Source organism: Homo sapiens, chromosome 3, assembly GCF_000001405.40.
Source record: "Homo sapiens chromosome 3, GRCh38.p14 Primary Assembly".
NCBI lineage: Eukaryota > Metazoa > Chordata > Mammalia > Primates > Hominidae > Homo > Homo sapiens.
Window position 1 is genome coordinate 101,488,901 of NC_000003.12, and position 27,209 is coordinate 101,516,109.

The 27,209-nt window shown below is 39.9% G+C and overlaps 1 protein-coding gene and 1 non-coding gene across 19 annotated transcripts in view; one reads left to right on the plus strand and one right to left on the minus strand.

The window, feature by feature from the left end:
• SENP7 (SUMO specific peptidase 7) overlaps positions 1-24,312 on the minus strand; it is a 189,008-nt gene extending 164,696 nt beyond the window's left edge. For 8 of the 18 annotated variants that reach the window (XR_007095713.1, XM_011513042.4, XM_011513041.4 and 5 more), the window contains exons 1-3: positions 24,191-24,312; positions 12,170-12,219; positions 4,970-5,068 (exon numbers count right to left, since the gene is read on the minus strand). Coding sequence is in view for 16 of the 18 variants with exons in the window: in XM_011513042.4 (XP_011511344.1) it covers positions 4,970-5,068; positions 12,170-12,219; positions 24,191-24,230 (189 nt within the window). In the remaining 2 variants the exon portion in view is untranslated. The remainder of the gene's footprint in view (positions 1-4,969; positions 5,069-12,169; positions 12,220-24,190) is intronic. The other 10 variants (XR_007095714.1, XM_005247662.6, NM_001282801.2 and 7 more) reach the window with 3 other exon arrangements.
• LOC124906362 (small nucleolar RNA U13) lies at positions 13,255-13,357 on the plus strand. Its single transcript, XR_007096329.1, has one exon. It is a non-coding gene; the product is annotated as a small nucleolar RNA U13 (small nucleolar RNA).
• Positions 24,313-27,209: the final 2,897 nt, after the last annotated feature.

Below are 27,209 nucleotides of genomic sequence, written 5' to 3' on the forward strand. Positions count from 1 at the left end.
AGCTAGAGAGAAGGGTCAGGTCATGTACAGAAGGAACTCCCATCAGGCTAGCAGCAGACTTCTTGGCAGAAACCTTGCAAACCAGAAGAGATTGGGGGCCTCTTTTAGGCAACCTTAAAGAAAAGATATTACAACTAAGAATTTCATATCCTACCAGCCCAACATTCATAAGTGAAAGAGAAATAAAATCCTTCTCAGACAAGCAAATACTGAGGGAATTTGCTTCAACTACACCAGCCTTACAAGAAAGAGGTCCTTAAGGGAGTACTAAACATGGAATCAGAAGAATGACACCTACTACCACAAAAATACACTTAAGCACATAGCCCACAGACACTACAAAGCAACTATACAGTCAAGTCTATACAACAACCAACAACATAATGACAGGATCAAAATCTCACATATCAATACTAATCCTGAGTATAAATGGCTAAACGTCCCTCTTAAAAGACATGGAGTGTCAAGGTGGATAAAAAGACAAGACCCAACCATCTGCTATCTTCAAGATACCCATCTCACATCTAACAACATTCACAGGCTCAAAGTAAAGGGAAAGAGACAGATCTACCATGCAAACAGAAAATAAAAAAGAGCAGGAGCCACTATTCTTATATCAGATAAAATAGACTTTAAACAAATAACAATTAAGAAGGACAAAGATGGGTATTACATAATGATAAATGGTAAAATCCAACAAAAAGACTTAACTAATTATATATGCACCCACTATTGGTACACCCAGATTCATAAAACAAGTTTTGCTTGACCTACAAAAAGACTTAGTTAGGCAACCACATCATAATAGTGAAAGACTTCAACACCCCACTGACAGCATTAGACAGATCATTGAGGCAGAAAGCTCACAAAGAGACTCTCACTTAAACTCGGAAGTGATTAACTGGACCTAATAGACATCTACAGAACACTCCACCTAACAGCCACAGAAAATGTTTTTAACGTCATTAGTCATCACAAAAATGCAAATTAAAACCAAGCCCAGGCCGGGCACAGTGGTTCACGCCTGTAATGCCAGCATTTTGGGAGGCCAAGGCAGGCGGATCACCTGAGGTCAGGAGTTCAAGACCAGCCTGACCAACATGGATAAACCCCATCTCTACTAAAAATACAAAACTAGCCCGATGTGGTGGTGCATGCCTGTAATCCCAGCTACTCGGGAGGCTGTGGTGGGAGAAATCGCTTGAATCCGGGAGGCAGAGGTTGTGGTGAGCCAAGATCGTGCCATTGCACTCCAGCCTGGGCAACAAGGGGGAAACTCCGTCTCAAAAAAAAAACAAACAAACAAACAAAAAAAAAAAGAGCCTAAAAGTCAGTCAATAGAGAATTAAATAAACCATAATATATTCACATAATGGAATATTACATAGCAATAAAAAGAAACAAACCAGTGATAGATGCAAAACATGGATAAATGTTAGCAATATTATACTGAATAAAAAGAAGCCAAACACAAAAGAGTACATATTATGTGATTCCATTTTTATGAAATTTAAGAACAGGCAAAACTATGGAAACAGAAATCAGAAGAATGGTTGCCAGAATCATGGTGGAGGTACAAGCAACAGAAGAGGAAAAGACACAATGGTTGAGTCATATACTTGAGTCACATAAAAAAGAAAAATGAATTAATTAAAAATATATTAAATTCTTTTGATTTTTTTAAAAGATAAAATGAAAACAAGGAAAATTTCTGGAGCATGACAATATGTTACTCTAGTCAGAGCTCATCTAACTTTACTCTTAAGATTGCCTGTTTAATGTAACTATATGTCAATAAAAATCACAAACAAATCAATAAATGAGTTAAAATTCTCCTAAAGACTATGGAAAGGGGCATTTATTCCTTTCTCTTCCATTGAAAACCACTAAAAACAACAACAAAAAAGTTGAGTAGTGGAAATGCGGCAAGATACTTGCACAGCCTCAAACACTACACAAAGTATGAGCAAATATTTAGCAAATATGGTGAACTTTAAGCCAACCACAGAGCACAGTAAGGCTGACATATGCCACTTCCAATCTCAAACAGGATTTCGATTTCCCAAAATTTAAGTATCACTTAACTTTTGCGAATATCAAAAAACAGTATAAACCCATATATATGGAAATATGCTTTTTTCTAGAAATAAATGAAAAAAACTCATTAATAGTGGTTGCCTTTAGAGAAAAAGGACAGAACGAGATTTTATTTGCTTCATTTTATACTTTTTTTTTTTTTTTTGAGACAGGGTCTCATTGTTTCCCAGGCTGGAGTATAGTGGCACAATCATAGCTTTCTTTAATCTTGAACTCCTGGGCTCAAAGGATCCTCCCACCTCAGCCTCCTGAGTAGCTGGAACTACAGGTGCACAAGACCACGCCTAGCTTATTTTTTAATTTTTAGTAGAAACAGGATCTCGCTATATTTCCTAGGCTGGTCTCCAAATCCTGGGCTCAAGAGATCCTCCCACCTCAGCCTGCTGAGTAGCTGGAACTACAGGTGCACAAGACCACGCCTAGATTATTTTTTAATTTTTAGTAGAAACAAGATCTCGCTATATTTCCTAGGCTGGTCTCCAACTCCTGGGCTCAAGAGATCCTCCCACCTCAGCCTCTCAAAGTGCTAGGATAACAGGTGTGAGCCACCACACACAGCCCACCTTGTATCTTTCTACACAGCCCAAATTTTCTAACCTTATGCAAATATATTATTTTCTTTTTAAGTAAACAGAAGTCACCTGGTCTCCTTTATTGTTTCCCTTTTTATGTACTCTTTGTATCCAATACAAACCAACAAATGTATTATTTAATAACAAAATTTCTAAATGTTCTTTTACACTAATTTTAAGCAAAGAATACTGAGGACAAATCTCTCCTCCAAGAACAAATTTTAGAAATGGTTAATAGGAGGTCGGGCACGGTGCCTCATGCCTGTAATACCAGCACTTTGGGAGGCCAAGGCAGGTGGATCACCTGAGGTTGGGAGTTCGAGACCAGCCTGACCAACATGGAGAAACCACACCTCTACTAAAAAATACAAAATTAGCCGGGCGTGGTGGCACATGCCAGTAATCCCAGCTACTGGGGAGGCTGAGGCAGGAGAATCGCTTGAACCCGGAAGGCAGAGGTTGCGGTGAGCCGAGATCGCGACATTGCACTCCAGCCTGGGCAACAAGAGCAAAACGCCATCTCAAAAAAAAAAAAATGGTTAATAGAGCCAAGTGCGGGGGCTCACGCCTGTAAACCCAGCGCTTCAGGAGGCTGAGGTGGGAGGTTCACCTAAGCAACACAGCAAAACTTTGTCTCTGCAAAAAAATTTTAGAAACTAGCTAAGCATGGTGGTGCATGCCTCTAATCCGAGATACTCAGGAGGCTGAGGTGGGAGCACAGCTTGAGCCCAGGAAGCTGAGGCTGCAATGAGCCGTGAGTGTGCCAGTGCACTCCAGCCTGGGTGACAGAGCAAGACCCTGTCTCAAAAAAAAAATACGTAAATAAATAAGGGTTAATTTTACTTGTAACCAAAAATATACATTTTAAGATTACTTAAAACACGTTATCCTAAAATAAATGCTACAGTTATGGACTGAATTGTATTCCCCCAAAATTCATATGTTGAAGCCCCAACTCCCAGGGCCTTAAAAGGGGTTGAGTGAGGTCATGTGGGTGGAGTCCCAATCCAATAGGACTAATGTCCTTATAAGAAGAAGAGACACTAGGGGTACGTGTGCCCAGAGAAAAAGCCATCTGCAATCCAAGTAAAGAGGCCTCAGAAGACAACCCTGCCAGCACCTTCATCTTGGACTTCCACATTCCAAGGCCAGGCATAATGGCTCATACCTCTAATCCCAGCACTCTGGGAGACCAAAGTAGGAAGACTTCTTAAGGCCAGAAGTTCAAGACAAGCCTAGGCAACATAGCAAGATCCCACCTCTACAGAAAAAAAATTTTAAGTAGCCAGGCACCTGCTTGTATTCCCAGCTACTCAGGAGGCTGGGCAGCAAGATCACTCGAGCCCAGGAGTTCAAGGATTCAATGAGCTATGAGTGTGCCACTGCACTCCAGTGTGAGCAACACAGACCCTGACTCTAAAGAACCTAAATGCCCTTCCATGGTAGTTTAGATAAAGAAAATGTGGTACATATACACCACAGAATACTATGCAGCCATAAAAAAGAATGAGATCATGTCCTTTGCATGGATGAAGCTGGAGACCATTATCCTCAGCAAACTAACACAGGAACAGAAAACCAAATACTGCATGTTCTCACTTATCAGTGAGAGCTGAATGATCAGAACACGCGGACACATAGAGGGAACAACACACACTGGGGCCTTTCAGAGGTTGGAGGATGGGAGGAGGGAGAGGAACAGGAAAAATAACTAATGGGTACTAGGCTTAATATCTGGGCGATGAAATAATCTGTACAATAAACCCCCATGACACAAGTTACCTATGGAACAAACCTGCACTTGTACCACTAAACTTAAAATAAAAGTTAAAAAACAAAACACAAAAAACTGCTATCTTAATCCTTATTCATCAAAGTCTGATTATAATGCTTAAAAATGAGATAAAGTCCAGATTTATAATCAAAATAGCTTTTGAAATATAGTTATATTACTCCTTAAAACATACATTTTAAAACTTAAAATGGGTCAAGTGCATAAGAACAAACAATTCTATAAACATTATCGTTTTAGTAAACTTAAAACAGAATTTATTTTACAATAATAAGATTTAAATTTCATGAAGTAATCAATTATGCATAATTATATATACATAGTTTTAAACGAAGAGCCTAACCTCAAAGTATCATTTCAACATGCCAAAAATGAACTAAAATCTGCAATTAAATAACACAAGAAAACCAAAAAAGGGACATATCAGAAAATAAACATTCAGTTTTATTACAATATTTTAAACATACCAAATAAAACTGTATACTTAAAATAAATTAATTTTATTTACCACCTGCAAAGGGAGAGTCCAGCGTTCTGAGCTTCTGAATTTGGACAGTGGTGATTGAACATGGACATCCTCTGGTTTTGCATTTAACATCTTTCTTATCTGAAAATAGGATGAGAAAATAATTAGTTTAATTGAACTATATACAAGAGCTAATTCAGCTAACAGAACCACTATACTACCCTGCATCAATAATTTGCTAACTGTTTTAAGGAGTTTTAAATTCAGTGCTTAATTTATATACAATTAAATATAATTTTATTCACAAAAAACCTCTCCTTGACTCTGAAAGTCAAATGAAAGTTGAATGAAGAATCAGAAGAGCTTCCTAACTATTCTCTTGTCTGCTGTCTCTTCCCCTTTTAACCTTTCAAATGTCAGCCCCAGAGTTCTCTAATACATAAAACCTAATTATGGCTGCAATACTTAAAATTCAACAATGGTAGCCATTACTTACAGATAAAACTCTTAACAATTGTAAAACTCTTTACCATTTGGGCTCTTTCACATCACATCACTACAAAACTACAACCCAACCACAATGAATGAAATCAACCTTCTTCAAACACATCATATTATTTTATATCTCTAAACCTTTGCATATACTCTTCCCACAATCTAGAATGCTCTTCCTTCTCTCCCTAGTGAAGTACTCCAGATTCTTGTCAAAATTACTATTTTATCTATACAACCATCATGCCATACCACGCATTCCTGGAACAGAATCAATGGAACAGACCAATGGAACAGAACAGAGAACTCTGAAATAAGACCACACACCTACAACTATCTGATCTTCGACAAACCTGACAAAAACAAGCAATGGGGAAATAATTCTCTATTTAATAAATGGTGCTGGGAGAACTGGCTAGCCATATGCAAAAATTGAAACTGTACCCCTTCCTTATACCATATACAAAAATTAATTCAAGATGGATTAAAGACTTAAATGTAAAACACAAAACTATAAAAACCCTACAAGAAAATCAAGGCAATACCATTCAGGACATAGGCACAAGCAAATATCTCATAACAAAAATGCCAAAAGCAATTGCGATAAAAGCAAAAATTGATAAATGGGATCTAATTAAACTAAGGAACTTCTGCACAGCAAAAGAGTGAACAGACAACCTACAGATTGGGAGAAAAATTTGGCAGTCTATCCGTCTGACAAACTCTAATATCCAGAGTCTACAAGGAACATAAATTTATAAGAAAAAAAATTCCCATTAAAAAGTGGGCAAAGGATATGAACAAACAGTTCTTAAAGGAAGACACACATGTGGCCGACATCACTGATCATTAGAGAAATGCAAATCAAAACGACAACGAGACACCATCTCACACCACTCAGAATGGCTATTATTAAAAAGTCAAAAAACAACAGATGCTGGCAATGTAGCAGAGAAAAAGGAACACTTTTACACCACTGCTGGGATTGTAAATTAGTTCAACCATTGTGGAAGACAGTGTGGTGATTCCTCAAAGACCTAGAGGCAAACATACCATTTGACCTAGCAACACCATTACTGGGTATATACCCAAAGGAATATAAATCATTCTATTACAAAGATATATGCATGCACATGTTTGCTGCAACACTATTCACAATAGCAAAGACATGGAATCAACCCAAATCCCCATCAATGATAGACTGAATAAAGAAAATATAAAACATATATACATAGGATACTATGCAGCCCTAAAAAGGAACACAATCGTGTCTTTTGCAGGGACATGGATGGAGTTGGAAGCCATTATCTTCAGCAAACTAATGCAGAAACAGAAAACCAAACAATGCATGTTCTCACTTTTAAGTGGGAGCTGAATGATGAGAACAGATGGACACAATGGGGGAACAACACACACTGGGGCCTGTCAGACCGGTAGAGGGAGCATCAGGAAGAATAGCTAATGGATGCTGGCCTTAATATCTAGGTGATGGGTTGTTCTTGCAGCAAACCACCATGGCACACATTTACCTATGCAATGATCCTACACATCCTGCAAGTGTACCCCGAGCTTAAATAAAAGTCGAAGAAAAAAATGTTCACCACTGTTTCCCTGGTACTTATGCCTAACACAGTGTCCAATACATGTTGAATACCCAATAAATATCTACTGACCAATGCTTTAATAAATTAGATTTCAGAAAATAATGTTCATGATATATAGGTAAGTAGGAAAAAAGATTACAAGACAGTATTTTGTGGTTTTCTATTTTTTAATATGTTTCTTATAAACAGACAAATAAACTAGAAGGATACACACCAAAGTATTAATTCTGGTTGTGTCTGGGTGGCCTTAATTCACCCAGTGAAATAAGTTCTTAATTGAACTTTAGAATATCTCTACAACAATCTAGTGTCATTTTAGAAATATTTCTTAAACATGTATTTATTTATTCGAGACAGGGTCTCGCTCTGTCACCTAGGCTGGTGTGTAGTGACTCAAACATAACTTACTTCTGCTTCTACCTCTTGGGCCCAGGCAATCTTCCTGCATCAGCCTCCTGTGTAGCTGGGACCACAGGCATGCACCATCATATCTGACTAATTTTTTTATTTTTTGCAGACACAGGGTCTTACTTTGTTGCCCAGGCTAGTCCCAAATTCCTGGGCTCTGTGGCTCAAGCAATCCTCCCATCTTGGCCTCCCTAAGTGCTGGGTTTAGAGGCATGAGCTCCCACACCCAGCCAAACACTTCAAACACTTTTTTTTTTTTTTTTTGAGACAGAGTCTCGTTCTGTTTCCCAGGCTGAAAGTGCAGTGGCACAACCTCAGCTAACTGCAACCTCCGCCCCCGAGTTCAAACAATCCTCCCACCTCAGCCTCCGAAGTAGATGGGACTACAAAAATGCACCACCATACCCAGCTAATTTTTGTATTTTCAGTAGAGATGGGCTTGCACCATCTTGGCCAGGCTGGTCTTGAAGTCCTGACCTCAAGTGATCCACCCGCCTTGGCCTCCCAAAGTGCTGGGATTATAGGCATGAGCCAACCCACCAGGCCCAGGCCAAACACTTTAAATTCAACACGTATTAGTATCTTCTCCCTATATCCATCAAAGCTCTTATCCTTTTGGTAACTTATTTCCACTAGCAGCCTGGAGGGAAAAGGCAGTAATATAAACTACTAACAATAATGAAATATGCTAATTTTCTAAGAAAGTCTACCTTTTTTAAACACACTAACACAACTTTATATATAAATTACGGGATTAAGAAATAAGTAAATATATTGTAGATAATGAGAGACAGAAAAAAATAAGGAAAGAGGAAAAGCTAGAATAAGCCTTGTGGTGTTGGACCGGAATCAGAAGTATCAGTATTAATTTTTTATAGATATATAGATAGAGATACAGAAATAAATATAGATACATGTGTTTGTGTGGGAAAATAAATAGACATATGTATGTTGTATGTGTGAACATATATTTTTCTAGTCTTGTCTGTTGAGAAAGCCTAAAAACAATGACATCCCAGTTGCAAGTATACCTAGCACACAGACATGGGTTTCTAAATATCATCCTTCAATTGAAAGAACCAAGGCTCCCTGGGAAAGTGGTTGATTCCAAGCCTGGGGCAGGGAAAACACAACATAAGCATCTTGCAGTGCCAAAAAATATACAGTGTCAGAAAGTAAGTGTTCAAAAAAAAAAAGATAGGAGCACGTCACAAGGGTACAGCCAACATGAAAGATCTCCCAAGGCTGGAATACTTTGACCAACAAATCTGTAATGACAGTAGTGGATTATAACTCATAGAATAAACTAAATATTCTATGAGTCCATATTGATACAAATAAATAAGTGAAGCCAAGCACAGTGGCTCACACCTAGAATCCTCACACTTTGAGAAGCTGAAGCAGGAGGATCTCTAAATAAATAAATAAGTAAGTAAGTAAGTGGGGGAAGAGGATCAGCTCTGCCTTACATAAGAATTTTTATTTTTTAGAGACAGTGTCTCACTCTGTTATCCAGGCTGGAATGCAGTGGTGCGATCACAGCTGATCACAGCCTCAACTCCCCTGGCTCAAACGATCTTCCTATGTCAGCCTCCCAAGTAGCTGGGATTCCAGGCATATGCCAACATGCCCAGCTAATTTTTTTTGTAGATATGGGGTCTCACTATGTTGCCCAGGCTGGCCTCAAATTCCTGACCTCAAGTGATCCTCCCACCTTGGCCTCCCAAAGTGCCAGGATTACAGTTGTGAGCCACCACACTGGCCCCTTATAGAAGAATTTACATTCATAAATCTATAATGAATGGGCAAAAGAGAAAACCACCAAAATACCACATATATAAATTTGGAGGCAAGATACACTGATAGATGCTAAAATAGTAAACAAAAGTTTGAGAAGAAATAGTATATTTGCATAGATTCAAAGCATCTCCCCTAAGATATTTATTAATTATAAAGAGGAAAAAAGTAACTTTACAATGGAGGAAACAGGCAGATCCCATCTTAACCAAACAATCAAGGCTGATATTACCAGTATTAAGATATATCACTATCATGTACCCCCTGATATAATGCACTAAGAAGGTCATCATCACTTCTGTGGTATTCCTCCCAAAAAGTCATAACCTTAATCTAATCTTGAGAAACCTGAAACAAACCCAAAGTGAGAGATATTCTACAAAATACTGTCCAGTTTTCTTCAAGAGTGTCATGGTCATGAAAGAAAAAAGACTGAAGAATTGTCATAGACTTAAGAAAACTAGGGAGACCTAACAACTAAATGCAATGTGGGATCCTGGATTGGATCTGGCAACAGAAAAAGGACATTAGTGAAACTGAAGAAATCCAAATGATGTCTATAGTTTAAAGCAGGTGTGCCCAACCCCCAGGCCAAGGACAACACAGCAGGAGGCGAGCAGCACGGGAGAATTAGGGCCTGCACTACCCCTCCTGTCAGATCAGCAGTGGCATTAGATTCTCATAGGAGCACAAACACTATTGTGAACTGTGCATGCAAGGGATCTAGGTTGCATGCTCCTCATGAGAACCCAATGCCTGAAAATTTGAGGTAGAACAGTTTCATCCCGAAACCATCTTCCCGACCCCTGTCCATGGGAAAACTGTCTTCCACGATACTGGTCCCTGGTGCCAAACAGGTTGGGGACCACTGGTTTAAGGTACTGTATCAATATAAATTCCTTGTTTTTTGTAATCATACCGTAGTTATATAAGATAACATTAGGAGAACCTGAGTGAATTTTACAGGAACTCTGTAAAATTTCTGTAACTTTTCTGTAAGTCTCAACTTCCTTGTAAACAAAAAGTTTAAGAAACACTGTAGTACATCTAAAAATCAGAGAAATGGATTAACTCAGTATTAATTTCTAATGGCAGGATTTCAGATTAATTGCATGAATAATGCAATAGTCTAAAGCACGATATTTCACTTCACTGGATATAATAAAAACAAAAATAGTGGTAGTTAATACAGAGGTATTTCAAAGTAGATATGATAGTATTCATCCTGGCAATGTAAGGTTTTTTTAGGGGGCAGCGGGGGACAGAGTCTCGCTCTGTCACCCAGACTGGAGTGCAATGGCGCAATCTCGGCTCACTGCAACCTCTGCCTCCCGGGTTCAAGCGATTTTCCTGCCTCAGCCTCCCAAGTAGCTGGGACTACAGGCACCTGCCATCATGCCCAGCTAATTTTTTTTTTTTTTCTTGGAGACAGAGTCTCGCTCTGTCGCCCAGTCTAGAGTGCAGTGGCATGATTTCAGCTCACTGCAAGCTCTGCCTCCCAGGTTCACACCATTCTTCTACCTCAGCCTCCCGAGTAGCTGGGACTACAGGCACCTGCCACCACACCCCGCTAATTTTTGGTATTTTTAGTTGAGATGGGGTTTCACCGTGTTAACCAGGATGGTCTCGATCTCCTGACCTCGTGATCTGCCCACCTCAGCCTCCCAAAGTGCTGGGATTACAGGCATGAGCCACTGCGCCCGGCCAATTTTTGTATTTTTGTAGAGACGGGGTTTCACCATGTTGGCCAGGCTGGTCTTGAACTCCTGACCTAAGATGATCCGCCCGCCTCAGCACAAGATTTTTTTTAACCTCCTATTTACCCCACTTAAACTAAATCCAGAGTTTTAAATGGAGAAACCACACCATGCAAATCTTAAGCCAAAAAAGAAAGTGTATCTAAAGCCATACTTTCTATATGGTCTTCTAAGGTACTCTTGATTTCCTCTCATTGTCTTCCTTTATGACTTCTTCTCCTTCTTTGTTAAATGCTATAACTATATAACATGAAGACGTATCATATTAAAGTTCTCTGTGCATAACTTAGACTGCTTCAGAGAAAAGGGTTTAATAAATTCTTATAATGTAAATCGGGATATTACTGCATTTAAAGAACAAAATTCTAGAAAAAAAATTATCTCTATATGCCAGGTATGGTGGCTTATGCCATAATCCCAACACTTTGGGAGGCCAAGGCAGGAGGATTGCTTGAGGCCAGGAATGTGAGACCAGCCTGGGCAACATAGCAAGACCCCTGTCTCTACAAGAAAAAATTAAAATTAGCTGGTCATGGTGGCACATCCCTGTATTCCCAGCTACATGGGAGGCTGAGGCAGGAGGATCCCTAAAGCCCAGGAGTTCAAGGCTGCAGTGAGCTGTACTTGAGCCTGGGCAACAGAGCAAGACCCTGTCTCTTAAAAAAAAAGAAAAAGATTATCTTTCTTAAAAGGAATTAATTTTTTAAAACACTTCCTATATAGGTAGAAACTTCGTTTTGTTTGTTTTGCTACTCTTGGCTTACGTAGAAGAAATAAATGAAAAAAAGAGGCTTAAAAGGACATATTCCCAATAGTAATGTTCAGCACATACCTTGAGTACAACTACTCTGCATCTATAGCATTACTAATGAATGCACATTGGTACTCTAATAGATTAAGTCATCAAAGAAATGTTGTGCTATGTTTTAAATAAAATCTAAAATGAGCTCTGGAAAGTATACTGGTCATCTGGTCCAGAAAGTATACTAGTCAACTATTTAAACAAAGTTGGTAGAAAAGTCTCCTGGTTAACCTTCAGTTAATTAGAATACACCACTCTCCCAAAACACTGACTAAAGTTTTATACTGTTTTCTTTAAAATGTTATTAAAAAGACAAACAGCAAAATACTTTCAATATCAGTAACTCCAAAGATAATAGGTTAAAAGCAAAACAAATGCATACCTCCGATAAATCAGAAGATGACTTTTTCCTTTTTCCTTCTGTGATGATTTCTACAAAAACCAAAGACGTGGTAAAAATTATCGTTTAACATCTAAATGAGATAAACAGTTTGACAAAGGAGATTCTTTCACATTCATCCTTTGTTTTAAATTAACTTGTTAGATTTAGAATTTACACATTTTACAGAAACTGAAGGGCTAAACATAAAAGTCAAAAAATAACTACATGTGTCAGAAGAATAGCAGATTCTCACAAAATGTCCCCAGTAAAATATTTATATATATAAATATATATATAATGACAATAGAAAAGAAAGAGGAAAACTTGGCTCTAAGAACTAAACAGAAATTCCCTGACCAAAGACCTCACACCTAGTAGTAGAACCATTTGATCAGACAAATTCTTATAATGGGGGAGGTAGAAGCAGGTGAAATTCTAGAAGTTAGAAGTTGAGAATATTCTATAAAAACACTTTCAGTTCTACTACATATCTAAGCATGCTGGGCAACATGCTTAGGGAACAGCTTAACTCTCTTTTACTCACCAACATTTTTCAGACTTGCTGTGGATTTTTCTGAGTTATAACTTCCAACCAGCAAACATTAATTCAATGTCTATTATGTGCCTGACACTGTGCTAGGCAATGAGTACAGTATAGTGGGCAAATTAGGCAGTACAGTATAGTGGGCAAATTCCAAACTTTCCTGGAACTTAGAGTCTACTGGAATATATCACAGATTTTACTAAAAAAATAAATGGCAGAGATTCAACATATGGTCAGCTGCTTATGACAAATGCACGACTGCAATTCCATAGGAAAGGGATGATTTTCAAAATGATGCTGAGGCAATCTGATAACCAAATGGGGGAATAACACCCTTGACTACCTCACACCATACACAAAATTAATTTGAAATGAATCATAGATTGAAATGTCAAAGATAAAAACAAAGCATCTAGATTTAAGTAGGAGAATATATTCACGACCTTTGGGTAGGCAAAGATTTTTCAAAGAGGACACAAGTAGTCCTAACCACAAATGAAAACGTTAATAAACTGTACTTCATTAAAATTAAGAACTTCTGATCCTACTGTAGCTCATGAGCATGATGACTGGGTGTTCACACGCATCTGTGAGATATGCCACCTTGAACCTTGTTACCAGGTCAGCGTATTACCCATCTGACATGAAAGAAAAATAAAGAACCACACTGGATTAGCATGTTTTTTTGTTTTGTTTTGTTTTGTTTTTGAGATGGAGTTTCACTCATTGCCCAGGCTGGAGTGCAATGGCACAATCTCGGCTCACTGCAACCTCCACCTCCCGAGTTCAAGCGATTCTTCTGCCTCAGCCTCCCGAGTAGCTGGGATTACAGGTATGCGCCACCATGCCAGGCTAATTTTGTATTTTTAGTAGAGGCGGGGTTTCTCCATGTTGGTCAGGCTGGTCTCCTGACCTCAGGTGATCCACCCACCTCGGCCACCCAAAGTGTTGGGATTACAGGCATGAGCCACCGCGCCTGGCTGGATTTGCTTTGAAAAAGAAAAAAGAAAAAAAAAAAAGGTCAGGCACAGTGGTTCATGCCTGTAATCCCAACACTTTGGAAGGCCAGGGCATGGGGATCACTTGAGCCCAGGAGTTCGAGACCAGCCTGGGCAACACAGTGGGACCCCATCTCTATAAAAATATTTAAAAAGGAGCTGGACACGGTAGCACATGCCTGTAGTTCCAGCTACTCAGGAGGCTGAGATGGAAGGATCACTCGAGCCTGGGAGGTTACAGCTGCAGCGAGCCATGACTGCAACACTGCATTCCAGCCTGGGTGACAGAGTAAGACCCTGTCTCAGATTTAAAAAAAAAAAAAAAAGAACTTCTGTTCATCAAAAATCATCAAGAGTGAAACGGCATGTCAAGAATAAAAGAAAAATATTTATAATACATGTATTTGTCAAAGAATTCATAACCAGAATATATAAAGAACTCCTACAAAGCAAAAGCAAGATAATCCTATCTTCAAAATGGACAAAAGTCTGAATAGGCACTTCACAAAAAAAGAATATCCAAATGGCCAATAAACATATAAACAGGTGCTCAATTTCATAATCACTAGGGAAATGCAAAATTTAAATGGCAATGAAAACCATTAAACAGCCTTTAGAATGGGTAAAAGTAAAAAGATTGACAACACCAAATATTGGTGAGAGACTGGAACTCATATACTCTTGCTAAGAGTGTAAATGAGTACATCTGCTTCACCAGCATCTACTGAAGTTAGACACCTGCCTATGCAATGTCCAACAATTACACTTTTAGATAAATAACCAACAGAAATAAGAATATTCAGGTATTTTTGTTCTTAATATCCAAAAACTGGAAACAACCCAAATATCCATCAAGTATGGATAAACATATTCATATAATGGAAAACTGTATAGCAATAAAAGATAATGAATTACTGCTACGCACAATATGGATACATTTCTCAGGCATGCTCAAAGGAAACCAGATGCAGAAGAGTATATGATTCTATTTCTCAGAAATTCAAGAAGAGTTAAAATAAACCTATGGTAACACTAGTTAAAACAGTGATGGGGGCCAGGCATGGTGGCACATGCCTGTAATCCCAGCAGTTTGGGAGGCTGAGGTGGGTAGATCGCTTGAGCTCAGGAGTTTGAGAACAGCCTGGGCAAAAGGGTGAAACCCCGTCTGCATAAAAAAGTACAAAAATTAGCTGAGTGTGGTGGTGTGCACCTGCACTCCCAGCTACTCAGTAGGCTGAGGTGGGAAGATCACTTGAACCAGGCAGTTGAGGCTGCAGTGAGCCATGATGGCACCACTGCACTCCAGCCTGGGCAACAGAGCAAGACACTGTCTCAAATTAAAAAAAAAAAAAGTCACTGAACTATACACTAAAGATATGTGTACTGTATGGTACTTAAAATCAGAAATAATAATAATAACTAATGAAATATAGACTACCCAGAAATCTATATTGCTGAAATGATTTCTTCTAAGTTCATAATACACAGCATTAGTTTCACTACATGCACTTGCTGAGAAACCATGTAATGTTTTCCTGATCTAAAAAATTATTTTTGGGCCAGGCGCGGTGGCTGATGCCTGTAATCCCAGCACTAATGGGAGGCCGAGGTGGTTGGATCACTTGAGGTCAGGAGTTCGAGACCAGCCTGGTCAACATGGGGAAACCCGTCTCTATTAAAAATACAAAAAAAAAAAAATTAGCTGGGTGTAGTGGCAGGTGCCTATAATCCCAGCTACTCAGGAGGCTGAGACAGGAAAATCGCTCAAACCCAGGAGGCAGAGGTTGCAGTGAGCCAAGATCACACCATTGCACTCCATCCTAGGCAACGAGGGCAAAATTCCATCTCAAAAAAAAAAAAAAATTATTTTCACCTCTACACTTAAGCTTTTGATAACTTCAAATAATTTAAATAAACTAGTACTCAAGTTGACTACCAAAAATAAAGAATTTTTTAAATAAGTGATAAGAAAGTATCCTGTAGAAATTCATTTTCTAGTCAATTTTAAATTTAACAAAACACATATCTACATATACACAATGGAATACTATTCCGGAATGAAAAAGGAATGAACTCACGTCTTTTACAGTAACACAGAACTGGAGACCTTCATCTTCAGTGAAACAACTCAGATTAGAAGCTCACACCTATAATCCCAACACTTTGGGAGGCCAAGGCAGGATGACTGCTTGAGCCCAGGAGTTTGGGACCAGCCTGCACCACATGGTGAGACCCTGTCTCTAAAAATATTTATTTGAATTAGCTAGGTACAGTGACACCACCTGTGGTCTCAGCTGCTTGGGAGGCTGAGGTGGGAAAATCGCTTGAGCCCAGGAGGTCAAGGCTGCAGTGAGGCATGTGGAGAATCGCTTGAGCCCAGGAGGTCGAGGCTGCAGTGGGCCGTTTTTGCACCACTGCACTCCAGTCTGGACGACAGAGCGAAACCATTTCAAAAAGAAAAAGAAAAAAGAAAAAAAAAGAACTCAGAAAGTCAAATACCACATATTCTCACTATAAGTAGGGGCTAAATAATGTGTATACACATGGACATAGAGTGTGGAATAACAGTCATTGAAGACTTGGAAGGCTAGGAGCAGTGCAGTGAGGGATAAGAAATTACTTAATGGGTACAATGTACACTATTCAGGTGATGATTACACTAAAAGCCCAGATTTCACCACCACACAATATACCCATATAACAAAGCTGTACTTGTAACCCTTAAATTTATACAAATAAAAAAGTACATGTCATTTTAAAAGGAATGTCAGTTTCTTAAATTTTAATTTACAAATTTATATCCCAAAAATGTCTCACTGGGTTAAAAGTGCTTCCATCCTGTTTTGTAGTATGTTCCCCTATTTCCTTTCATTAATGCTACTGTGAATTCCCAAATATTTATGTTTTTTTCTTCTTGGCCAACTTTGTCTAATAAAAAAATTTACAATTTTTTTATAGCTGACTTGCTCCATCTTATACCAGGTTAGCTCTGGAGTGTTTAAATAAGCATATGATGTGCCTCGACTTGAGACTGTATGGTATAGTTACCATGCTCAAGAGTACATATTTTAAAGCTAGACAACCTAAATTTGTATCTCGGCTTACTAGTTGTGACTTCTCTGAGTCTCAGTTTCTCATCTGTAAAATGGCGGAGAATATCTGCCTTTTTAATCGTTCAGATTAAAGCATGATAGTCCATATTAAGGCATTTAGCATTATGACTAACACATAGTTAGTGCAAAAGAAATGGTAACTATAACATTTTATAGTCAAGTATCTCCCTTTAAAAGACTGTAGTATATTAGCATTAGCATATAGGAAAATCTCTCCAATTACTCTCATTCTAAATATATGAGTCAAAAAACTAAAAGCATAACTTTTCCCACTCATTCACTTATTTATTCCATAATTTTTTTTTTTTTTTTTTGAGACGGAGTCTTGCTCTGTCACCCACGCTGGAGTGCAGTGGCACGATCTCGGCTCACTGCAACCTCCACCTCCCAGGTTCAAGCGATTCTCCCGCTTCAGCCTCCCCAGTACCTGGGACTACAGGCAGGAAGCACCATGCCTGGCTAATTTTTTATGTTTAGTAGAGAGAGAGTTTCACCATATTGGCCAGGCTGGTCTCGAACTCCTGAGCTCAAGTGATCTGCCCACCTTGGCCTCCCAAAGTGCTGGGATTACAGGCATGGGCCACAGCACCCAGCCTATTTATTTGACATAATAGTAATTATCATTGCCTGGAATTATGCTAAGTGCTTTACACAAATTATTTTCCTTAATCCTTATATCATGAAATCAATAATGTATAATCTCCATCTTATAGATTAAGAAATTAAGATTTGAGGAATCCAAATAACTTGCCCAACGTTACCATAGTGATCCATCACCGGTCATATTCCAGAGATGGTACTCTAAACCAGTACACTCTAGGCATACTGGATGCTATGGGGAAATAAAATTAATGACAGTCCCTGTCACAGTGTTAATAGTATAGAAGTAGACATTAGACAACTCAGCAAGCTAGAATATATGATGGAATCTGATAATTATCATATAAGAGGCATAAAGACCAACAGAAGTGCAGAAACAGGCATAAATTTAAGTTTGAATTAATCAAGGAAATGGTTCTTGGAAAGGCACAACTGAACTGGGCTTGGGCTGAGCATGGTGGCTCATGCCTATAATCCCAGCACTTTGGGAAGCCGAGGTGGGAGGATCGCTTGAGGCGAAGAGTTCAAGAACAGCCCAGGTAACACAGTGAGACACCATCTCTAGAAAAACTAAGTTTTTTTAAAAAATAGCCAGGCATGATAGTGCGGGCCTGTAGTCCTAGCTACTCCGGAGCCTGAAGTAGGAGGATAGCCTGAGCCCAGGAGTTCAAGGCTGCATTGAGCTATGATCGTGCCACTGCACTCCAGCCTAGGCAACAGAGCAAGATCCCATCTCAAAAAAAAAAAAAAAAAAAGAGCTGGGCTTTGAAGAATAAGGTTTAGACAGGCAGAAATGGGTGGAGCCAGGCACAACCCAAGGGTGATTTACCAATACGAGCACACACGAACTAGGATGAAGCAGACCACATCAGCCAGATTCATAAATTACTGAAAACCCAAATGAAAGTTATTCATCAGGAAGGCATTATAACAGAATTCTAGTCTGGATCTTTGGAGCTACTCAATCTTATTCATAACCCATTCTCTGTGTTACCATACCCCCTTAATTTACTTTTCAATCCTCTGCCTTCCATCATCAAGCCTAGGAATCACCACCAAGGTGTCAATCCCTATAGCCTATCACCTTCTTATTATCACACCTCATATAATTGAATTCTACCCCCTCATCTACATCTTCTTCATCTCTTCCCTAGTTTACCAAATTCTTTTCCAAAGTCAATACAGTTTCCTTAAATTTTGAATATTTTCCTTGAATTTCTCCTCCACCTTAGGTTAACTAAATCCTAGCTTTTTATTAGATATATTACTTTGTTAAAACTCTCCCACTTATAAAACAGAAGTAGAGATGAACAATCTCCATTGTTTCCTTTGGGGGGAAGACAAAAAAAAAATCTCCTTCCCCACCGCCACCATCTCCTATTAATATTCTAACTTTATTACAATAATTCCTCCTTTAAAATTAACATAAATTGGATACATTCCTGGCTGGGCACAGTGGCTCACACCTGTAATCACAGCACTTTGGGAGGCCAAGGCAGGTGGACCATGATATCAAGAGATAGAGACCATCCTAGCCAACATGGTGAAACCCCGTCTCTACTAAAAATACAAAAATTAGCTGGGCATGGTGGCACTCACCTGTAGTCCTAGCTACTCAGGAGGCTGATGCAGGAGAATCGCTTGAACCCAGGAGGCAGAGGTCGCAGTGAGCTGAGATCACGTCACTGCACTCCAGCCTGGCGACAGAGCGAGACTCCATCTCAAAAAAAAAAAAAAAAAAAAAAATTGGATATATTCCCTTGCCCATATTTATGACTGCCATCTACTGACCCAAGATCCTTTCCAACATGTCTAGAATACTCTGATTCTTGGTTCATAGTTTACGTATCATCAAAATTCACCATCATTCTGAAGCACTAAAACATCCATTAATCAACTCACTCAAAACAATGGACTCATCTTCATTTAATGGTACAAACTTCTACATATCTCCATTTCAGCAATACGCATTCAAGAATGGCTTTAAGGAGGCCAGGCGCAGTGGCTCACGTCTGTAATCCCAGCACTTTGGGAGGCCGAGGCAGGCAGATCACGAGGTCAGGAGATCAAGACCATCCTGGCTAACATGGTGAAACCCCATCTCTACTAAAAATACAAAAAAAAATTAGCCAGGCGTGGTGGCGGGCTCCTGTAGTCCCAGCTACTCGGGAGGCTGAAGCAGGAGAATGGGATGAACCCAGGAGGCGGAGCTTGCAGTGAGCCGAGATCGTGCCACTGCACTCCAGCCTGGGGGGCAGAGTGAGACCCCGTCTCCAAAAAAATAAAAGAAAGGCTTTAAGGAAAACTGTTCCTTACAGCTTTAAGGAAAACTCTCAAGTTCTCAAATGCAAACCTTTCATTCTATATACTGTCTTCCTCACTGCCACTAAATCCACTCTTTGCCCTTATATCTTGCCACACCCTTTAAGTAAAATTAAACTCATTTTTCTTCCAAACTCTTGCTCTTGTAATGCTTGGCACTACTAAGTCACAAAGTACTAACAGCTCCAACTACTATAAAACTCACACTTGCTATAACTAAGACTGCAAGAGTACTTAATATATATTCATCCCTAATTGACCTATCTTGCATTCCCAGTACCATTTAAAAGCCCCTTTCTCAAAAAATTACCTTATTTCATTTTAGAAGCCAAAACTGCAATATCTTTAGCTTCTCAAGATCTGTCTATATCTTTATCCATCTTTTCTCCTTTCCCTATATCTCACCAAACTGTTCTTTGATGTCATCCCTCTCTCCCATTTCTTCTGGGACCTCACTCCATTATCTCCTACCTGATATATATTCAATCTTTCCCTCTCCACCCCTTTCCCACTCCCTACCAACCTGATTTAAGTCTCTCATATTCCTAAAAAAAACAAGCCTTTCTACCTAATTTCCTACTCAAGCTTGTTCTAGAAATATTTCCTTCCCATCTCATTTTCCCAGCTTACTTTTGCTGCCCCATTTCCTCACTGCCACTCATTCCTCTAGCCTGTTGAAATCTGGCTTTTGTCTACTAGTCTACTAACCACTCTTACCATCAGTAAAAGTAGCCTCCTAATTGCCAAATCCAGTACCCTCATGCTACTTTAACTCTCTGAAAGGCTAACATTTTTTTTACTCTCCTCCCTTTCTTCCCGAACCTGTCACAATCCTAATCAGCCTATCTAACTGCTTAGTAATATCTCTTCCTCCGCACTTTGAAATTAGTTGTATGTGATTTAAGACCTTCCTCACTCTATACTATTTTTTGTGGGCAATTCCATTCATTCCAATGACTTCAACTAAGATTGCTGCAAATAATGCAGCTTTATCATAACTAATCGTTAAGTTCTCATCTTGAGCTTCAATTATCATTCATTACACTTTCAATGCAAAGCAAACATCACCTGGACCTACTGAAAGATTTAAGAAAGTTATACCATCAGGGACACTAGTAGCAGTAAATGAAGTTAAAACTATAGATTTTGTAATTAGAGACCACATTTTGAATTCTGTTCCTTACTAGCTATTACTAATCTTTATCCTGCCCCTAAATCCCGGTTTTCTCATCTGTAAATGAAAAACAATTACCTTATAAGGCTTTTGAAAATATTGAAGTTTGTGAAGTTCTTAGCACAATGTCTAGTGCCTAAGTACTTAAAGAACATACGTTATCCTTAACTACAAATGAGAGTGACACAGGCCTCCAAGAATGTTGCCTGAAGCAATCAGTTGAAAACTGGTTCAAATTTACTTGACGTTTCCTATTTTGATTCAAAAATTCACTTGAAAATTGCAGTCTATGATTCTAATTTATCTGTGCTGTATTTTTGTTGTTTAACACTTTTAATGGTCATTCTCCCTTGCTCCCAGACACTTTATCATTCAACTTCAGTGAACCTGTCTCTGATGCCAGCCGTTTTTTAATGTGTATCACCATCTAATATACTGCTTTAAATGGTATAGTTATCAGTTACATGAGTTACAAATACATGTGTTTAGCTTAAACCATCTGGAATTGGGTTTCTGCTACTTGCAACTGAAAAAGTTTTGAGCGGTACACTGTGAACATTTTACAGTTCTTCCTTGTTTAGCAGAAAGTTTAGGGCAGCCTAATGTAGTCTCACAGATAAAACTTCAAATTTTGTGTTTTATTTTATCTTTCTACTGCTACCCACCTTCCTTCTACCTCTTCTTCCTGTTTTATTAATCAAACTCTTCTGCATACTTAGGAAACTTTGATGACTATAAATGTCACTTCATGGCCGGGCACGGTGGCTCACGCCTGTAATTCCAGCACTTTGGGAGGCCGAGGCAAGTGGATCACCTGAGCTCAGGAGTTTGAGACCAGCCTGGCCAACATTGTGAAACCCCATCTTTACTAAAAGTACAAAAATTAACCGGGCATGGTGACAGGCACCTGTAATCTCAGCTGCTAGGGAGGCTGAGGCAGAAGAATCGCTTGAACCTGGGAGGCAGGGGTGGTAGATTGTGCCACTGCGCTCCAGCCTGGGCAACAGAGCGAGACTCCATCTCAAAAAAAAAAAAAAAAAAAAGTCACTTCATTTGGGTTCCAGTTAGCAACAACTTACAATGAAATGGCAACTGCATGCCTACAACCACTACACGGAATCTTTCAACCAGCCAATGTTTTATTTCTGAGAATTTATTCAGGAAATTAAATATACGCTATTAAGAAAAGCAGAAGCATACTTAAAAATTAATTAGTGCACATCTTAAAACTAGAGGCATACTGGAGAACAGCTAGGTAACATTAGATTTGGGTATGGATTTTATTATACCTTACTTTTCAGAAAGGACAGCTCCAAAAGAGAGATCACGAGAAAAAGAAAACGCTCTCTAGAGATATAACTAACGTAAATATCAATGTCTTTTAAGGATTAACAGCTTTATTATCAAAATCCACTTCCCACAACTACTTACATCAAGTTACTGTGACAAATAAATAAATCTAAGTGTAATCAGGTAAAAAGGAACGTGACTTGTTGAATTACAAGGCAAATATCTTACCTTCCCTCCTCAAAAATGTATTAAACCTAGATGAAATGCATTTATTTAAAAAAGGTTGTGCATCTCAAAGGAAGATATGATCACACCTAAAGTTCTGTGTTAGGAAGCCCGCAAATGACACCAGCTAAGCATTGTGCGTTTTCCTAATGTGTCCATTTTACTTAGAGGTTTGGTGGGGGGTGGAGACTATTAAAACACTCATCAGTTGGAGGCATATACCTACATGTATGTATAAATATACATATATATCATTTATACATGTGCTTTCAAAGGAAAAAACTATTATCTCCAGAATATACACCAAGAACATCGATAACATTGGTTGCATATGAAAAGGGATTTCAGGTTTTCAACTGCTTCAAGCAGTGTCCCCAGAGATCCATAATCACTCTCCTTTGCAATTAAGGCTGAAAGCAGTTTGAGATGCACTGCCACAGGGCACTCCTAAATAAATTTGGAATTGGTTTTTTTTGTTTTTTTTTTGTTGTTGTTGTTGTTTGATACAGAGTCTCGCTCTGTTGCCCAGGCTGGAGTGCAGTGGTGCGATCTCGGCTCACTGCAAGCTCCGCCTCCCGGGTTCACGCCATTCTCCTGCCTCAGCCTCCTGAGTAGCTGGGACTACAGGCGCCCGCCACCACGCCCGGCTAATTTTTTGCATTTTTTAGTAGAGACGGGGTTTCACAATGTTAGCCAGGATGGTCTCGATCTCCTGACTTTGTGATCCGACCGCCTCGGCCTCCCAAGGTGTTGGCATTACAGGCGTGAGCCACCGCGCCCGGCCAATAAATCTGTAATTGTTAACTGTCTCTGCAGAAACCAACGGTACCATCAGAAACAGAAAAATGAAATGAAATAATTGATTCATTGGGCGTTCGTTTGTGTACTGGACTGTAAGCATATGAGTCCTCGTCCTCTCCTCCTACCATCCATAGGACTTAACACAAGGACTTGAGGACCCCCTAATGGATGAAATGTTTGATAAAAACTTCTCAACTGGGAGGAGCTCTACCTCACGTTTTTATAACTCCACTTTCTTGTTTCCAAGACGTTGTACACAAAACTGAAGATAGTCATTTAAAACAAAGTAACGTCCAAAACAAAAAATATGCTGAAAATAAAAACACAACGAAAGCACGGCTTCAAATCCTTTGTTTGACTTTCCAATCACTTTTGGAAGACGCAGGGTAGGCTGGAAAAGAAAAAGGCTATTAGGCGGGCCTGTTCAGCAGAACGAGACCCGGAGAGGCATTGTATCAAAGAAAAGGAGTCTCCGGTCGCAAGCCCCACCTTTCCTCCCCAGCAGCAGCTACCTGCTGAGGGAAAGAGGAGGGAGAGGGGAAGGGACGCAAAGTCGAGAATCAAAGGAAGAGAGGAAAGTGGGGTCAGGCGCTGAGAAGCCGAAATGAAATTGGAACATTGGTGGAATTACGAGGAAGGCGTGGCAGAGAGTGACAAGCCAACCGGGAAGATCCATGGGCCGATGAGACGCAAGGAGGGTGTTCGCGGGAGGAGGGAAAAAATAAAAGGGGTTTTGAGGTGAAGAGCGCCCGAGGCTTCGATGACAGCTCGGACCGGGTCTTCGACTCCAGGGGCGGGGGCGACCCGGGAGCCTTCCATTGTGCGCGCCCCTTCCTCTCCCCGCCCCCGCCCTCGCCCCCGCGGCTTCGGGCCGCAACCCCAGCTGCCGCCTGCGCCTCCCGTTTCCCCCGGGTAGGAGACAATATGTTCAGCCCTTCTCTGACCCTTTCTCACCGGATGAAGATGGCCGTCGCCCGAGCTTTCTCTTGTCCATCTTCTCCCGCTGCTGAAATTTCAGTTGCAGGCGCTGTCACCTCAGGACCCCTCCGGCTTGGAGAGGGAGGGGGAGGGGAAAGGAAAAAAAAAAAAAAAAAAAAAAAAAAAAAAAAGCCCGCAAAGTGCGAAGCGCGCTTGCGCAAGAGCCGTCGCCTGCCCTTCGACCGGAAATCAGCCGCCCCTCCCACCTTCGACCGGAAATCACTTCCTGGGACTTTTCACTGTGGGCTGCCTCTTCCAGCGTTTTTTTGGTGGCGTTTATTTCATGATCTGAGCCCCTCTGGGGAGGTGAACCACCTGGGTGCTCGATTTTAGCTTTGTTGACTTTGAAGATTAGATTGACAAAAATTAAAAGGGAAAAACAGGAACTCCTCCGGTTCACTGGATCTCGCGAGGTGGCCAAACAACTATGAAAACAAAACGTTAGCGTTTGCAGTATTACATCCCTCACAGCCTCTCTTACATATTTGCCCCCAACGCCTTTCCTCGAACTCAGAAACCAAAAGATTTTAAGATGGCAAAATCACCTAATAATAGCCTAGCTATTAGTTTAGCATTTGCTGTGGAAATATGTCAGCAGACGAGGAAAAATGTCTTAGGATTCCTTTTTAAAATTCGAACTTGTGATTTTTAAAGTTCCTTAAAAGAAAAGCTAGAACTTAATTTTTCAATAACTGAAATGCTGATATGACAGAAAGTGGGTGGCTATAAACTTGGAATTTGTTCAATTAACATTTACCACGATACTTAAGGGACTAATCCAGTCCTCAATGAACTCAAGGTCTGGTACTATTAGCCTGATTATCCCTAATGGTGCATATCTGAATAATTTTTAAATGCACGTGTAAGCTTTCATGACGATTTAATCACAAGTTTAACAAAATTCAGCACAGTGCTCTAAGCAGGGAAAATGTTTCTGGCATGTTCAAAGCCCGAAGGGACTCTGGAAGTAGGGTTTGATTCCCAAGCTGGCCCCTTTATACCCCTAACGCCTATCCCTCCAACCCCCATCTCCCATCCTAACGGAGTCAATAAAGGGATCGGCCCAACTCGTCCACTAGAGCAGTCCCCTTCATCGTGAGTTAAGCCTTCTTAATTATAATGTGGTCAGTCCCCAGGTAGAGGTAAGGCCCCAGGTGTTGTGGGGTGTTGGGCCTGGGGAAGTGTTCTACATGGCAGGAATGACTGCAAAGCAGAAATACTTTAAGTCTTGCTGGGATTGAAGTTTACTGTAAGGATTTCGTTTTATTTGGTTAATTTCTGTTTAACAAAAACATTGCTTTCTGAAAAATAATTGAATTTTCAGTTTCCTCACAAATTAACTTTTTTTTTTTTTTGAGACGGAGTCTCGCTCTGTCGCCCAGGCTGGAGTGCAGTGGCACAATCTCGGCTCGCTGCAAGCTTCACCTCCTGGGTTCACGCCATTCTCCTGCCTCAGCCTCCCGAGTAGCTGAGACTACAGGCGCCCGCCACCACGCCCGGCTAATTTTTTGTATTTTTTAGTAGAGATGGGGTTTCACCATGTTAGCCAGCATGGTCTCGATCTCCTGACCTCGTGATCCGCCCGCCTCAGCCTCCCAGAGTGCTGGGATTACAGGCGTGAGCCACTGCGCCTGGCCCAAATTAACTTTTTTAACTAAAGAACTTAACTGATTCTAAAGTCAAGCTGGGCCGGACACAGTGGCTCGCGTCTGTAATCCCAGCACTTTGGGAGGCCGAGGCAGAATAGATTGAGCCAAGACATTCCAGACCATCCTGGGCAACAAAGCAAGACCCCCCTCTCCACAAAAATATACAGGCCAGATGCTATGACTCACCCTTGAGCCCAGGAGTTTGATACCAGCCTGGGCAATATAGTGAGACCTCCTCTCTACAAAGAAAAAAACTAGCCACACGTGGTGGCGCATGCCTGTAGTCCCAGGTACTCAAGAGGCTAAGGCAGGAAGATCACTTAAGCCCATGGAGTTAAAAGTTGCAGTGAGCCTTGATCAGGCCACTGCATTCCAGCCTGGGCGACAGAGCCAGACTGTCTCGGAAAAAAAAAAAAAAATGACCCGGGCACGGTGGAGCACACCTATAGTCCCCGGCTACTGGGGAAGATGAGATTTAAGGATTACTTGAGTCCAGGACTTTGAGGCTGCAGTGAGCTATGATCGCTACACGGTACTGCGGCCTGGGCGACACACAGATACCCTGTCTCCAAAAAACATAAAAAATAAACTTCCCAGACGATTCTGTTGCATACTCCAATTTGGTAAAACCAACACTTAGTGACATCTGCTTTTTTCTTTTTCCTATCTCTAATATTCTTTTTTCTATGTGTCCTTGCCTCTGGTGGATTAAATACAACTTTTTTGTTCCCTAGGGAGAGGTGAACAGTGAGGAGGGACATTATGTACTTTCATCTTATTTTGAAATTTCTACAGATATAATTTCACAACCACTATTATTTTCTACAATTTACTAAATGGAATTGTAATACAGGCATTATTATTTTTCTAAAAAACTGCATAATTGCTTTCTGTGTTGGGAAAAGAAAAATAGTGCTGCTTTTGTACCAAAACAGTATTCTTTCTTTCAAACATATTTTCTAGAGGTTTTTTGTTTTGTTTTGCTTTCCTAAATATGAAAATAAATGAAAACTTACTCGTTGTAAAAAAAAAAAAGTATCATTAGATATTTTTAAATATTCTGAGTAAAAGTATTCTCCATTCTGTGCTTCTTAATGGCATGGTATATACAAAAGGACCTTGTTCCTAAATATAAAAAAGGATTATAATTACTGTATTAGATTATTACTCTGTAACCAGGGGATTTCCTAACTTCTCAGATTATAAAATTACTTCTTATAAAAGCTTACTAATCACCTGTGAAAAATGTAAATATTGTTAAATGTAACCACTTTTGATCCTAGAAAGGAAAGGGGTTCCTTAAAAATCCAAATACGCTAATTAAAGTTATTTGCATCTATGATTCT